This window comes from Homo sapiens, chromosome 17 (genome assembly GCF_000001405.40).
Source record: "Homo sapiens chromosome 17, GRCh38.p14 Primary Assembly".
In the NCBI taxonomy this organism is placed as follows: Eukaryota; Metazoa; Chordata; class Mammalia; order Primates; family Hominidae; genus Homo; species Homo sapiens.
The window spans coordinates 49,925,089-49,941,347 of record NC_000017.11 but is presented as its reverse complement, the minus strand read 5'-3'; the positions used below and the strand labels follow the sequence as shown (position 1 = coordinate 49,941,347).

General features: G+C 53.9%; 1 pseudogene, besides 2 other annotated features; it reads right to left on the bottom strand.

Annotated features, from left to right (window-relative positions):
- On the bottom strand, positions 1,373 to 2,248 carry LOC124865 (MRT4 homolog, ribosome maturation factor pseudogene; annotated as a pseudogene).
- Positions 4,497 to 4,697: a silencer, noted in NCBI's record as "peak2887 fragment used in MPRA reporter construct". NCBI's record gives its function as "represses an SCP1 promoter by STARR-seq MPRAs in K562 erythroleukemia cells {active_cell/tissue: K562}" and the evidence as "EXISTENCE:reporter gene assay evidence [ECO:0000049][PMID:32103011]".
- Positions 11,839 to 13,038: an enhancer, noted in NCBI's record as "CDK7 strongly-dependent group 2 enhancer chr17:48005674-48006873 (GRCh37/hg19 assembly coordinates)". NCBI's record gives its function as "activates an origin of replication core promoter dependent on BRD2, BRD4, P300/CBP, MED14 and CDK7 cofactors, with strong dependence on CDK7, by STARR-seq in HCT116 cells {active_cell/tissue: HCT116}" and the evidence as "EXISTENCE:reporter gene assay evidence [ECO:0000049][PMID:35650434]".

The window sequence follows — 16,259 nt, the reverse complement described above, 5'->3', positions numbered from 1 at the left end:
TTGTGAGGACATCGATGATGACAATCATGATGAAAAAAATAAATAGAATGAAACAGGGGACCCAGCCTCTCACTTCCCAGTCCCAGTGGTTGTCTCAGACTCCTCCTGGCTTTGGGTTAAAGGAGACAGCATCCCATGGGCCTTAGGGGAGCTGAAGGCTGGATTGGGGAGTCAGGGATCCAGAGAGAGGAGATAGCTGGGCCCGTGGGAGGCAGGGCCCTTTCTTTCTTTCAGGAGAAAGAAGAGCCTGCAGCTGAATCAGCCCCTCCTAGTCCCCTTGCCACCAGCACCAGGCATTATGGGCCATGGCAGGGACACAGAGGGTGGCGGCATCAGGACAGAGCCAGCTACCATGTCGGGAGCTTGGGGTGGTCCAATGCTGTGGTTCCACCAGCTCTGGGCAGAGCATGTCCTTGTCCTGGATGGCCCAGGGACAGTTAAGGAAGCACCCGGGACAAGGAGTCAAGAGACCCAAACTCCAGCCCAGGGTCCTCTTCTCGCTCACCTCAGGGCAAGTCACTCCCCACGTCTGAGCCTCAGCTTCCTCCTCCGGCAAATGGGAGAATTGGATTAGGTGGTCTCTGATGCCACCCGACAGGTAGGCCATCGCTCTCTAGGGAAAGTGAGGTGAAGTCCCTCAGCACAGTGCCTGGCACACAGCAGGTACTTGGTAAATATTGGGACTCCCACTCATTTGAAGTGTCCTCTGAGGAAAGTAAGGGCAGGGTTCCCTTCACACTCCACCTGCCCTGGCTTCTGCCAAAAAGAACATCCTTCTCCAGGGAGCCAGAAGCTGTGAGTGAGGTATGGGTTGGCCTCCTAGGCTGGTCCCTGCCTCTTTTCAGCTCAGCCACTTCCATCCCACCCCCAACCTTGGCTGCCTCCAACATCCTGCCATTTCCCTTCTTCCCCCACCTCAGAGCCACCAGCTGAGCCTGGATTTTCTGCAAGAGGCCCCTCTCCACTTTCTGCCCTCCCCACTGAGCCCCTGGCTGCCACTCACCACCTTGGCCCTCAGAGATAGCGGCTGGCAGGGGTGCCAATGGGGGTTCCCACCAACCTCCTCTCAGACCTTGGTTCTCTGGGGCCTTCTCAGGTGGCTTCACCCCTGGGCAAAGCCCAAGTCCTCAGCTAGTTTTCCCTAGAATTTTGAGTTTCTTCAGTGCTCAAGCCCTGCAGACTTCAGAGATATCAAAACCCCATCATCCCAGCACTGAGCTCTGAGCCCCACACAGAGGCCCTGCCCCCTCCCTACTCCCAGAGCTCCCAAGTTCCTGCTCAAGAAAAGGTCCTGATCCATAAAGAGGCAGTCCACAAACCTCCCGTGTGGCAGAAGAACTTTTTTTTTTTTTGTCTCCAGGGAGACATCCTGCAAAGTTTTATTCTTTATAGGAAGTCGGTGCCCAGCACGTTCCCTGTCTACAGCCAAATAAAAAGCTGCTCTCTCTAGAGGGGTGGCAGCAGTCCTGCATGGTCCAGTGAGACTCAGAAGGTTCCAGGAGACCTTCAGTCCTAAGACCCTTTCAGTCATTGTCTTCTGAGTCTGACTCTTCTGCAGACTCGGATGCGCCCTCTGGCAAGTCATCTCCCATCTGCTGGAAACTTCCCTACTGTGAATCCCACATGTATTTGATGGTCACCTTGAATTCAGCCATCTCATACCCAAAAAGCTTCGGGACACAAGCCTGCTCTGGGGTCAGCACACCTCATAGTTGGACAGCAGGGTCACCACACCTCTCTTGAGGGCAGTGGGCAGGGCCAGCTGCGTGAGCTGTGGCTCCATGGAGTGGGGGAACTGCTCCAGGGGCCCTGAGTCCAGGCTTGCAGTGAAAGCTGCTTTGTTACCAGCTCGGGCGTAGTCCATTTCTGTGTATTTCGTAAACCATTCATTCACTTCCTCCTTTGTGCGGTTGGTGAACAGGAGACCCACTTCACCCCTCAACCTTTTGCTGACGTGGTGCAGGTTATCTTTGTTCTCATCAGGTGGGCTCTGACCCAGGGCCACCATCATCACCTTGTTTTTGCCAAAGAACATCCAGCTGTGCTTTCAGGTGTTCTGGATGTCCCTCAGCCTGTTGTTCCTCATGTTGGCCACAGAGAAGATGAAAAGGTACTGTAGGTGTCCACACATTTCCAAAGCTCTTCTATCAGGTTTTGTTTCAATTCCAAGCCTTTCTTGGCAGTTTTGGTTAAGGAGACTTTCTTGTCACACTTGGATTTGGGCATTGCACTGAATCCACGTGGAAGAACCATTTTTAATAGGTAACTTGCAAATAGCATGGGGCATCTGGAGGGGCAGCCATCTGCCTGCTGGAGCCGGGGAGGGCAGATCTGGGCTGAGACTGGAAGTATGAGCTGGCACTTGCCCCTCATACAGTGACTAGGGAAGGAGAGGTCGTCTGAGACCTGGGAAAAGCACAGCAAAATGTGTGTTCTGGGATTCCCCACCTCCCCACGGTCCAGGGCTGTGTGAAGACAGCAGGGAACCCTGGAGTCTCAGGCAGAGGAAGCCTTTGTGGGTCATGCTCTGGGGTCCAGCAGCAAATGGGCAATGAAGCAAGCCGCCCCTAAACAGTGTGGGGTCCAGGACAAGAGTACAAGTGGAGGGTCACTATCCAGCTAAACATCGCTAAACACATTCTTCCTACTTTCTTTGACAATAAGCCTTCATAACAACAATTTTTTTTTTTTTTTTTGAGACGGAGTCTTGCTCTGTCACCCAGGCTGGAGTGCAGTGGCGTGATCTTGGCTCACCGCAACCTCCGCCTCCCGGGTTCAAGTGATTCTCCTCAGCCTCCCAAGTAGCTGGGGTTACAGGCACGCGCCACCACAGTTGGCTAATTCTTGTATTTTTAGTAGAGACGGGGTTTCTCCATGTTGGCCAGGCTAGTCTCGAACTCCTGACCTCAAGTGATCCGCTCGCTTCGGCCTCCTAAAGTGCTGGGATTATAGGCGTGAGCCACTGCACTTGACCAACAACAAATTTTTTTTGTTGTTTTTTTTTGAGACAGAGTCTTGCTCTGTTACCCAGGCTGGAGTACAGTGCCATGATCTTGGCTTACTGCAACCTCCGACTCCTGGGTTCAAGCGATTCTCCTGCCTCAGCCTCCTGAGTAGCTGGGATTACAGGCATGCACCACCACACCCAGATAATTTTTATATTTTTAGTAGAGACGGGGTTTCACCATGTTAGTCAGGCTGGTTTCGAACTCCTGACCTTGTGATCTGCTCACCTCGGCCTCTCAAAGTGCTGGGGTTACAGGCATGAGCCACCGCACCTGGACAACAAAATTTTTTAAATTGCATAAAGCCACGGTTTTTATACAGTTAAATATATATGTGACTAAAATATTCTAATTTATTAAAATAAAAGGCAGAATGTAAATTATAACAAATGAATGTTAAGTAGAAAATTAAGATTATTTAATTGAATCTAATTTCTTTCTTTCTTTACTTTTTTTTTGTCTCACTCTGTTGCCCAGGCTGGAGGGCAGTGGCACAATGATAGCTCACTGCATCCTCAAGCTCCTGGGCTCAAGCGATCCTTCTGACTTGGTCTCCTGAGAAGCTGGGGCTACAGTTGCACACCACCACTCCTGGCTTTTTTTTTTTTTTTTTTGTAGAGACAGGGGCCTTGCTTTGTTGCCCAGGCTGGTTTCCAACTCCTGGCTTCAAGCAATCCTCCCACCTCTGCCTCGCAAAGTGCTGGAATTATAGGCATGAGCCACCTCGTCCAGCCTGAAACTAAATTTTTTATTTAAAATTTTGTAAATCTAAATATTATTATATATTTTGATAAAATATAATGCTTTGTAATTTCAACGTTCACCATCCATCAAATTGCCAATGTACAGTTACTATCAAGTTTCATGCATGTTCCATCTAGACCTACCTTTGTACAAATTAAGAATTATATGAAGGTCGGGCACGATGGCTCACCTCTGTAATCCCAGCACTTTGGGAGGCCAAGGCAGGTGGATCATAAAGTCAGGAGTTCGAGACCAGTCTGGCCAACATGGAGAAACCCCGTCTCTACTAAAGATACAAAAAATTAGCCTGGCATGGTGGCGTGCACCTGTAATCCCAGCTACTCGGGAGGCTGAGGCAGGAGAATCACTTGAACCCATGAGGCAGAGGTTGCAGTGAGCCGAGATCGCACCATTGCACTCCAGCCTGGGCAACAGAGCAAGACTCCGTATCAAAACAAAAAAAATTATATGAATTATTTAGTAGAGCAAAGTGTTTCTCATCTGCAACATGCATTCATTTGAATGCTACACTGATTTATGAGTACCTCTTGTACTCACAAAGAAGAAATAAGGACAAGGATGCTCAACACTACAAGGAGAGTTTATGTAAGAATCCATTTAATTATTCTTGAATGTTTTTAAAATATTAATAATCTATTGCATGTACGCTACTTGAAAGAAATAATCTAACAAGTATATGTATTTTTTCTTTCAGTTACTTCTGTTTTTTGTAATTAGGATGGAGCGGTGACTTCCAAGCTTCTTATGTGGCAGACTGGAAACCCGAAGTTATGATGCTCCCCATTCATTTTTCATTTCACTCCGGCGCTTGTACAAAGTCCATCTCCACCAATGGCGCGCAGACGCAGTTGCTCTTTGTTTCAAACACTTAGAGCAAGAAGCCTGTGACTGAGGCCCGATGGCTGTAGTGACAGAAGTGTAGAGCAGAAGTTTGAAGCTGTGGGTTGCACCCCGCAGCCCTTGGTACCAGAGCCTGCATGACCTAGGCTGTCATGGGTTCTCCAGCAAAGGAAGCGTCAGTGTCATATCCATGTCATGAGGGGCCTGGGGCAGGGATTCCTCTTGCTGGCTCTGGAAGCAGTACTGCTTTGAAGGGTGTTGAGCAGAGAAGTGACATGGTGAGACTCTCGTGTTAGACAGACCACTGAGGCAGCAGATCAGAGGGCAGTGAGGAGGCTGGGGGGCATATTAGGGGAATTGTCAAAGTAATTTCTGGATGAGAAAATTAGAAGCCTGGACTAGAGAATTAGGTGTGAGTACAGAAAGACAACAAGAGGTTAAGAGAGAGATTTAGGAAGCAAGACTCTTGTCCTGGACCCCACACTGTTTAGGAGCGGCTTGCTTCATTGCTCATGCTTTTTCCATGCTTTCTAGAACCTTCTCTCCAAGTTTGGGGCTAGGGGCAAGGCACCAACAAATAATCATACAACTACAGTAAGAGAGGTTTGGAATCAAGGAGACGAAAGGTGATAGGGACCAACCCAGTCCTGGGCTACCCCAGCAGTTAGTGACTAAGAGGAGGCCGGGCTTGGCGGACCCTCTCTATGGAGCGCTGTGCCTTTAAGTGCGGAGAGGACTCTGGGTTGGACTTCTGGGGCACTGCTCTGGGATGGGTGCAGTGCGGAGGACAGGCTGGGGGCTGGGGCCAGGGAGGAGCACCAAGTGCCAGAAGCAGGGCCTGCTTGGTTTGGGGCCGAGGGCCCAAAGGCATCAGGCTGGACAAGATGACCTCACAGGGAGCCCTTCCAGCTTCTGGCTCTTTCCCCTGATGGCAAGGGCTAACCCTCCACCCGCATCCCCCACACTCCACCATGTCTACACCTGGCGGCTCTAGCAGATGGTTATCTCCCCTCCCCCACCCCACGCCTCCACCCGGCCCCGCCTGTCCGTCTGCCAGTCTGCCAACAGCCCCACTCCTGGCCTTTCATCTCATGCCACGGCAGCCAGCCTGATGCTGCAATCCCCCACCCCCGGCTGTCCAGCTCCACAGCCTCTCCTGGGCTTGGGCCCCATAGGAGCCAAAGACCTGGGACCCCCAGGGCTTTGGCCCCCTGCTGCAGACCTGCCCAGGGTGGTCTGGGGGGCATGGCCCCTCCTCAGCCTGTAAACACACACACACAGACACACCTTCCCAGGGTCACGTGAGCACACACCTTGAGGCTCACCCCCACTATCCTTTCCTCCCTGAGCAGCCTCCCTCCATCACCACCCCCCAACACCTTGGGACTCCTCCTGTCTCCAGAGTCCTTTTCCTGCCCTGTCCTTTCTGACTTGAAGGCCCAGGCAGCCATGGGGAGGCAGTGAGGCGGCAGGAGGAGACTTGGCAATCAGAGGCACAGACGTTGCTGGTGGTAGCAGCCATTGTCTTCACCCGAATCTTCTCCTTTTCCTGGGATTGGCAGAGGCAGGCAAGCACTGAGGCAAGGGGATGGATGAGCTGACCCATGGCGAGTGAGGAGGACCAGCTCCTCAGGTGAACAGGCTGCCACCCCAGGCATCGGCCCCCTTCCAACCCCAGCCCCATTCCCAGGACCTTGGGCAAAGTGCAGGCTGAGACCAGCTGGCACTGGTGGGGAGGGGGCCGGGATAAGTTCTCGGTGCTGCTGGTGGTGGCAGCCGCCCACCAGGGGGCTAGGAGAGAAACAGATGATGCTTTGATGAAGGATGCTGAGGCAACAGCTCAAAGTTGCCCTCTAGGACTTGCTGTGAAGGAGGTATGGAGGAGGCAGAAAAGGCTGGAATACGGCCTCCTTCTCTGGCTGGGGGGTGAGTCCTAGCCATGGCAGAAAAGAGCAAAGCCACATCAAGCAGAGCAGGGCAGAGGCTTTGTCCAGAAACCCTCTACCCCAGTCCCACCCCCAGCCTTGGGCACAGATAGTTGGGCCTGGCCTGAGCTCTGCTGGCCACAGCCATCCAGGAGCCAGGCGAGCATGTGTGGGTGTGTCCTCCCCAGGATGGGGGGCCCTGAGGGCAGACACCAAGTCTTCCGCACCTTCCTACCTGCTCCACCACAGTGTTGGAAGGCACTACCCACTGCCAATTACAGCCAGGCGCCTTTCCTGAAGCCCTGGTTCACTTCATTCACAGCCCATTACCATGTACCTACTGCATCCTAGGAGCTTCACAGGGACAGGAGGGGCAGGGAGCATTGTCATCACCCCCAACTGTTTGTGGGTCAAGGAGACCAAAACAAAGACAGTCTGAAGAGGGGGGCCCCTGGAGGCTGGGAGTTCCTCAAAGCTACCCAGAGGAAGTGTGGCTGGAGGAGAGAACAGAGGATGGGCAGGGATTAGGGAAGAGAGGATTCACTGCAGCAGGGGAGGGGGCTGTCATCAAGACACAAGAGCATGAGGGTAGGCGGATGTGCTGACCACCAGCTCGAGACCCACTGCCTGGGGGAAAGTGGCAGGAATAAGGTGTACCTGCAGAGAGGAGGCAGAAGGATTCCTCCTGGGGCAGGAGAGGCCTTGGGGAAGGAATGAAGGGAGAGTCATATTTTACTGTTTCTTTTACTACACTGTTGAATCTCATACAAGAATGTATTACTCGTGGCATTAAAAAAATAATGGTGAAATCTAAATCATGTGTTGAGTTTAGTTAAGAGTAGTGTACTTTTTTTTTTTTTAAGTAAGGGTCTCACTCTGTTGCCCAGGCTGGAGAGCAGTGGCACGATCATAGCTCACTGCAGCCTCAAACTCCTGGGCTCAAGTAATTCTCCTGTCTCAGCCTCCAGAGTAGCTGAAATTACAGGCATGTGCCACCACATCCAGCTAATTTTTAAATTTTTTATAGAGACAGAGTCTCACTCTGTTGCCCAGGCTAGTCTCAAACTCCTGGGCTCAAGCAATTCTCCCGCCTTGGACCTCCCAAAGTGCTGGGATTACAGGTGTGAGCCACTGTGCCTGGCCCAATGTTTGTTTTTTAGCTATGACAAATGTACTCTGGTGATATAGGATGTTAACAATAGAAGAAACTTGGGTAAGGGGTGTATGGGAATTCTCTATTTGCAACTTTTCTGTACATCTAAAACTATTCTAAAATTAAAATATAGGTGTTAAAATTGTATAATAAACACACCAAAAAAATGCCTCACTGAAACTGCTGCCTCCAAGAAAGCCCGTGTGGTTATCCTGACACATTGGTGGCTGGCATCACCTGATGGGTAGGTACAGGGGGAGCAGGCCACCTGCAGGAGAGGGGGTCTTGTTGCAGAACGCAGGTGGGTGGGGACAGTCTAAATGCTTGACCAGTGGGCACCAGGGAGATTTTTCTTGACGTGTCAAGGAAATTCTAGGCTATTGGTAAGCCAGCCTGCTAGCCAATCCAGTACAGTGTGATGGGGTTATGGTGCCAAAATTCAGGAGTTGTGAGAGCATGAAGCGGGGACCCTAACCCAGACATGGGGAGAGGTAACATCTCATGCCTGAAGAATGTTCATTTCACCCCGATGCTTGTACAAAGTCCGTCTCTGCCACTGGTGCGCAGACGCAGTTGCTTTTTATTTCAAACAGAGCAAGAAGCCCCTGACTTCTTGGAGGATAAGGGAGGAGAATCTGCCCTTAGCTCCTTCTGGAGGGGTGAGGGGTGTGGGGTGTGGAGCTCAGGGGAATGGCAGCTCAGGGCCATGGACAGAACCTGGAGTTCAGAGTCAAGCAAACCTGCGGGAAGTCCAGACTCCTTACTCACCATGTCCTTGGGCAAGTCACTTCAACTCTTGGGGATCAATTTCCTCATCCATAAAATGGAGATGATCACTCTATCTGTCCTGCCTGGCTCCCAGAATTGTAAGCGTCACATGAGACAATCATCGCGAAAGGGTTTGGCATGGGGCAGAATCACTCTGGAAAAATGAGCATCGAGTCCATAGTGAGTTGAATGGCAGGGGCACCATCTCTGCCCTGCACCAGAGTCAGCTCTGACCGTCCCCAGTCCTGGATGCAGAGCTCAGAGGAGCTCCTGGAGCCAGGACCCCCCCCCAGGAGCAGGCGCCCTCTGCATCATTGCTGGGGGCAGATGCCAGGCCCTTCCTGAGCCCCCAGGAGATGGGCCAGCGTCCCCCACGGTGGGTGGAGGGCAGGCAGCGGGGGCCTGGGAGAGCTAGCTGCCAGGGCTGGGAAGATGCTGAGGTGGAGATGGAGGTATCTGTGAGGGCTCAAGCCCAGGGGGGAAAAAATTCTTGCTGGAGCTGTATAATTAAAATCCTATTAAGCGGCGCCTGGCAGTCTCCTATCAACCCCCACCGAGGCTCCACCGACGAACCCTCGCAGCAGCTGGGGCACCCCGCTCTCTGGGCAGCAGCTTTGGGGCTGGCTTGGCTGGGGGAGCGCTGGGGGCCAGGCCGGCTTTGGGCAGAGCCAGGGTGGGCCAGGGTGTCACAGGGGAGGGGAGTGTAGTCAGCGCTCCGGCCCAGCCTGCATCTGGGCCCCAGCATCCCTGCCATCTTCCCCTCTGCCCCGTGAGCACTGAACGTTCTTCTTCCACCTCCTCAGCCCCCGGGCCTGGGGCTAAGGCACTGGCTTTCTGGCTTCCCGTCTGCCCTCCTCCACTTCTCTCCTGGGCTCTCAGCTTGCTTCTCTGGGCCCTGGAAGGCAGCTCCTCTGAGCCCTCGCTGAGTTAAGGCAGCTGTCTGAGGAAACACCTGCGCACCCTGCTCTCCAGGCACTGGCTCGGGACTGCTTCGGCTTGGCAGAGCCAGGAGGGCCAGGGTGGGCACCGGGGAGGGGAGGGCAGCCCATCTGGGGCGATTGTCTGAGATGATCGTCTGAGGCGACATCCCTTTCTTCTCCTCTCCTTAGGTTCCAGGTGCCCCTTGCCCCTTTTCCAGGCAGTCTGCCAAGAATCTCCCACCCAAACCCTGTCTACCCTTTTCCCTGTGTCCCACGCCTCAATATTCACTCAGTCTGCACACTGCTGCCTTGTCCTGTGTCTATATCCTGAGCACACGGGTGTCTTGGCTCCCCCATCAGACTGGTTCCTGCCTCCCCCATCACTCTGTGGGCTCCCTGCAAGCACTGTGAGTTCCATGAGCCAGAGGATTGATTGGTCTCCCCGCAGGAGGCGCCCTATCCAGAGAGGCATGGTGTCCAGCCAAAGCACCAGAGTCCTGGGCAGGAGGAGTGGGGCCTGGGCCCAGGGCTCCCCACCCATCCCCTCTGAGTGGCCTGCAGAAGAGCTTCCAAAGCAGGGCTGATGAAATGGAGGCAGGGGAGGAGAATGGAGGAGCTGGCTGGGCCCTGGCCTTCACCCTCTGAAGAAAGAGTCCCAGCACCCCAAAGGATTTCCAGGTCTGCCCCCAGCCTCAGCCTCTGTCCCTTAGCGCTGCCCCTGGGGCCTAAAATGGGGATGGATGCTGTAATCCCCTCAGAGGGGCATGGGGACCCGATGTAATCCCACCTGCCAACCCTCCCCCAGGTGCCAGCCCAGGATGATGATGGTGGGTGAGAGTGGAGGGAGGAGCAGGCAGACGGCCTCGAATACCAGCTGTTGCAGGTGGCCTGGCCCCGCGTGCCCTTCGCAGAGCTTCCTGGACTCCCTCCTGGGTCACGGGGCTGGAAACATTTGAGAGGTCCTAGGGCCATAATACCTGCCCCCACACCAGACTGGTCTCAGACCAGCCCACAATGGATGGGGAGGCTTTCCTTGACTCCCTCTGGCCTCTAGGGGAGAGGGTTTCACCCCCATCTCAGAAACCCTCTAGGATCTCAAAGGACTATCAGGACCATGGCTCACTGCCCTTCTACCTCTCCACTGGGTTCTGCCAGTTTCTCAGGGGCCAGTTCACAACCCAGGATGCCCTTCACCATCCAGAGGGACCCCCTTCCTGCAGGTCTCTGGTCCTTGTAACTGAAGAAATGAGCGCAGCTCACCTTTTAGCCTGAGGAGGAGGAAAAGTGGGAAGGGGAGACCCCCATCCGCACCCCCACCCCTCGATATTCACTGAGTCTGCATGCTGTTGCCTTTCCCTGTGTCTATATCCTGAGTGCTTTGGTGTCTTGCCTCCCCCATCACTCTGAGGAGCTCCCCGCAAGCACTATGAGTTCCATGAGTTCCCCACTCTGGCGCTCCAGCATCAGCCTGGCATCTCAAGGAGTCCAAAGGTGATGGTTCTAGTCTGAACTCTGCTGCTAACCAGCTCTATGGCCTTCGCAGCCATCACACCTCTTTGGGACCCCATTTCATCATCTTGACGGATCTATGGGTGTAGAAACGGACTCATCTCCCCACCGCCCCTGTGCTGCTTTCCCTACTCCACCCCCTGTAACCCCACCCCCTCACCGCTCCATGAGTTAGCCACTCCCCATGCACCCCCATCCCACCAGGTACCTGCCCAACTCTTGGCCATTTCATTTCAACAAGGATTTATGAAGCACACATGATGTGCCATTGATGGGGTCATAGAGACAAAAGCAGGTCTATGGCCATTGCACTAGCTCCCCACTCAGGTCACTTAGGGGAGGAATGAGACCAGAAATCAAAAGAAGGCCACTCAGCAGAACCGTAGAGATTGTTGGATGCTCCATGCAGATTTATGCAAATATGAATGCAAATGAACCAAGGAGGGACAGGGCAGTTTGTGGACCAAATTAGTTTCTGAGTATAGATTTGATGTAATGTTCAAACTGCAAAGGACTTTGGCCATGATCGGGTGAAACTGAGGCCCAGGGAGGGAAAATGCCACACCCAAGGCCTGTAGCACACAGGTAATGCACCAGGACCCGGGCGGGGCTCTGTCACCAAACCAAACAGAAGAAATGGGCCTTCTTGGGGGCTGGGGGTATTCTCCAAACTCCCCCAGAGTGGGGACAGCCAAGAGCATTGTAGCCACCCAGGCTGCATGAGACTGAGCCCTGACACATTGACGCCCAAGCCTTGGGTCAGTTCCGGAGTGGACACATCCCTGCCTTAGAGGTCTGGTGTTCTAGGTGGGGAGTGGGCAGGAGTCCCCGGACAGCAATGCAAGGCATGGGAGCCATGTCCCAGGAATGTGTGAGCTTCGGTGCTTGCTGATGAGGGCCGAGGAAAGAGAGATTCATTCTGGCAGCGGGGACTCAGGGAGGGTTTCCTATAGGGGATATGGACAGATGGGAGGCTCTGTCCTTCTGTGCAGGTTCAACAACACAGACTCCTTTACCCCTGTAAAAGCCACTGTTCCAGTCCAGGCGCCTCACTGGAGAACAGGAGGCTCAGAGAAGGGCAATGACACCCCCACTAAGTCCTGCTACAGCCAGATCCCCTGCCTTCTGCCCTCTCCTTTCTGAGTCACATCATGTGCCCCTGGCCACTGACAAGGAGTCACCAGGCCTAGAAGGCTCTGAAAGACCTGTTGAGGAGACAAGGTGGGGACAGAAGGGAGGGACAGGAGTCAGGCTCTGAGGTCCTGGTTCCCTCTGCTTCCTGACTTCTCCCCCTCCCCCGGCAGCTCTCCCCCTTAGATCTCACTTGAGACCCACCCAGCTGCAGGGGCAAAAGCTCAGCTAGTGGTGGCCGCACACCTGGTGCAAAGCTGTGGTGATGTCACCTCCGGTTTTCCAGAATGTGGGATCTTCTCATGATGACAAAGTCCACAGGCATTTCATTCCATGCTGAGGACAGTGTGGAGGGGGAAGGCTGTGGGATGGATGTGAGAGATGCCCCAGTAACCCAGAGAGGGAACCAGAGGACTGGGCAGGGCAGAATGCCTGCTCATGGATTCGCCACCTATCTCAAAGGCCCTCATCCACAAAAGTGCGAAGTTCTTCCTGAAGTCTGCCTTCCATCTCTGATGCTGCAATTTTAACTCCTGTATGTTCATAAAGTCATTAATACTGAAAAACTCAACTAGTAACCAGGTAAGTATTTCTCTCCTGTCATAGGCCCGGTACCCTATCTGTCAATAGGAGCCATAAGAGAAAGTTACCCTAAGCTCCCAGCACTTGGGAAGGGGACAGCTTAGTGCCCAGTGCATTCTCTCCGTACAGTTCCTGCACTTCTCATCCACTCCCCACTCCCTAGCCTGCCCCTTTCCCTCGGGAGTCCTAATTTCACTGACTGTGTTCTCCAGATTCTCTGCTTTTCCCTCTGCGCTGTGTGATCCCAATTGGACAAACCATTTCCCTCTTTGGACCTCAGTTTCCCAGTCTGTAAGCAGGGGGGCATTCTTCCCCTTTGCTGGGGGGTGTCTCAAAGATCTCACAGCCCACTAAGCCCCAGATGGCCGAGTCAAACAGGGTCAAGGAGCTGGCTTTGCTCCCAAACCACAAAGGGAAGCCTCTGCTTTCCCAAGGAGAAGCTGAGGTTTGGGGTTTCTCTCTGGTCCCGGAGGGCAGGGCCGTCCTAGCTGACAACATCAGGTCGGCGCCCTCCCAAGCCATGCCAGTGTCAGCATCCTCCTCTCACCCCACCCCACTGTATCCCAGCCTCACTCAGGGTGACAGCATCACCAGCCCCTGCCCACAGCGGGGGCCTCTGGCAAGCTGGTAAGCGGATAGGTGTGGGGTCCCTCCACTCCCCAAGTCCTATTACCTGAAGTGCCACCGCCCTGACTCTATAATAATTGGGGGGCTCATTTGCATTTTGCCTATGTGTGATTTCAGAGAGGCACCCTGCCCACCCCTTTCTAGGGACTCAGCAGCTGTTTGCCCAAGCCCGCAGCTTCCTTCCAAGGAAAGGAGAGAAGAGCTCGGGGAAGGCAGGAAGTGGGAGCTGGGGATGGGCACTGGGCCCCCAGGTCCTCCAAGGAAGAGGGGTCTTGGCAGGGCCCTGGGACCTTGTGCCAGCGCTGGCTCGGGAGCCAGGGTGGGGACGGAGGGGGTGACGTCCTCTACCTCCCCAGTCTCAGTTTCCTCATCTGTAAACTGGAGCTAATGACACTTAACGAGCGAGGGGGGTGGGGGGCATGTAATTAGCTCCTGCTGGCTCTGGGCTTTGAAGTGGGTTGGAGGAGGGGGCAGCTGGGCGGGGTGCAGGTGGGACAGAGTTGGAGGCCCCAGTGCACTGGCCTGCAGTGGGGAGGTGTGGGTCCCAGGGATCCTCTCCCATCTAGGGGAGATAAAAAAAGCTGAGATCACACACCTAAGGGAGGCCCTGGAGGGCAGGGGGCAGACAAGTGGATCCAGGGCCTGGGGCACAGAGATCCCCAAGTGTGAACAGAGAGTGCCCCAGGCCACCTAAGAAAGGAGCTGGTGCCCCCCAACCCTCTATTAGGGTGGGACTGCTGGGGTGAGGGGCGAGGGAGTGGGATCCAGAGCCAGGAGCTCTCTCACACTGTGGTTCTTGTATCCCATGACCCACGGTGGCCTGGCACACACCTGGGCACACATAGGGCATGTCTCCATGGGCCGGGGCAATAGCTCCTGCACAGAGGCTCATGAAAGAACGGGGATGGCGGGAAGGAAGGAGGTTATGGGGACTGAACCCAGAGAGGTGAGGACAGGAGGGAGGGAGCCACCACCTCCCACGCCCTTGGCCTTTCCGCTCGCCCCACGACGTCAGGGCTGAGTCACTGGGAGAGGCTGCTGTCCAGCAGGGGTGGGAGGACCCTGGGGACCAAGGCCTGGACACCATCCCGGGACAGGCAATGTGTGGGGCACCTTTGGCCCGGTTGGCGCCGTCCAAATGATGCAGGCTTGAGCCAACCATCCACAGTCCAGCCACCCACGCCTGGTGGGCAGAGCTTTGGATGGGCCCAGGAGGCCCCAAAGGGCCATCTGGGAGGGTCAAGAAGTCATCTCTGGCATCTCCCTGCCTCTGGACACATTGACAGTGAAACCATCCAAGATACACCAAAATATATTGAGACGTCCTTTTTGATATCAAACCATGCAGTGTCGTATTGCAAGCTCCACCCACTGGCTCTTCATCAGGGGTAAAGACCAGGTAGTCACTCTCTTCCTGGGACCCCTCTCTCTCTCATCATGCATTCTCTCTCCAGCTCCTTTTCCAATAGGTGGTGCCTGGAGGTGGTTGAGTTTGGCAAATGGGTGGATTAAATGTGCTCCCACCCACTGCTGCACCAAGCCTAAGACCCCAGGATTAGCGACCCAGTGATTTGTTTGGTGGAGCCCTAAAACCATAAATACATATGCTAATTTGGTCCCCTGAATAGAAATAAGAACTGTTCATTCATTCATTCATTCATTCCACAAATATGTATTGATATCTACTAGGCACCAGGCACCGTTCTAGGCGTAGGGATATGGCAGGAGAGAAGATGGGCAGGAGCCCAGCCTGGAAGGCTCCATCTCTAGCCGGAACAAGAGTGTGGGGAAGGGGCCAGAGCCCTTCAGAGCAGAGGGGACTGTTTCCAGAAGAGGCCTCAGAAGGGGAAAATTGCAGCTGTCCCCGGAAGTTCTGGGTGGAGACTCTACCCGCCATAAATCCCAGAGACCTATCAGTGGAGGTCCTCTGAGACTGGGACACCACAACCCCACTGGCCACCCTGGCCCTGCTGAGCCTGGGACTCGCCAGCTGGAACATCTGGAACAACTGATGTGGGGTTCCTCCCACTGCTCCGCACTCCCAACCCGAGTGTGTGCTGGGGAGGGCGGCAGGCCAAATGAATGGGACGCCGGTCTGTGCAGCTTCGTAAGCCTCCTTGAAAGTCAGGCTTTTTCTGTTTTCTGTGTTGATAGCCCAAAGATGTTTGAGTGAGAGGAAGCTTCCCAAGTTCTCAGGAGCTAGCTCAGAAGTTCCTGAGAGCCGGGTATCTGGGTCTCAGCACACTTTCAAAATGGGGCCCTTGGTCTGGGAAGGTGGAGGCATATCACCCTGCTGGACTGAGTGGTCTAGGCCTGGGCTGCCCCCTTGCCTTGTCAAAGTCTGCAGAGTGTAAGGCCAGGACATTCTGACCTGTGGGGACTACTGAGACCACTCCTCTCCTCTGCGCCGCCCTCCTATACATGCTCATCCCCACCCCACTGGGTGTCTGGCTCCTCTGTCCCAGCGTCTCTAGATAGCTGTGCCACTGCTTTGTCTCTCTCCCGATGCATCTGTGACCTACAGAAAGGAAAATCCTGGAAAAGGCTTTATTAGGTCAATGGACAGAATTGGAATATGAACCTACGGATGATAGATGAGATAAAATATTCTATCAAAGCAAATTTATGAAACTGATAACTATACTGAGGTTAAGGAAGAGAATATCCCTATTTTCAGGAAATACGCACTGAAGCATTTAGTGGTCAAAGGCCATGATAGATGTAACTTACCCTCAAATTGTTCAGGAGAAAATCTATATGTACATATACATGGATGTATATAGAGAAAGAATGATAAAAGTAAATGAGGTAAAATGTTAACAATAGATCAGTCTGAGTGAAAGGCATAGGGTGCTCTTTGTACTGTTTCTTTTTGCAGCTTCTGAAATTGTTTTGCCCTCTCGCTCTGCTTTTCCCTGGACCCCTCCCCTACATAGTCCCTAGTGCTCTCGGTGTCTTTTCCTCATTCACTCAACCCTAGGACAGTGCCTGAGCCATCGCGGACACTCAGGGCATATGGGAGCTGTGCTAGATG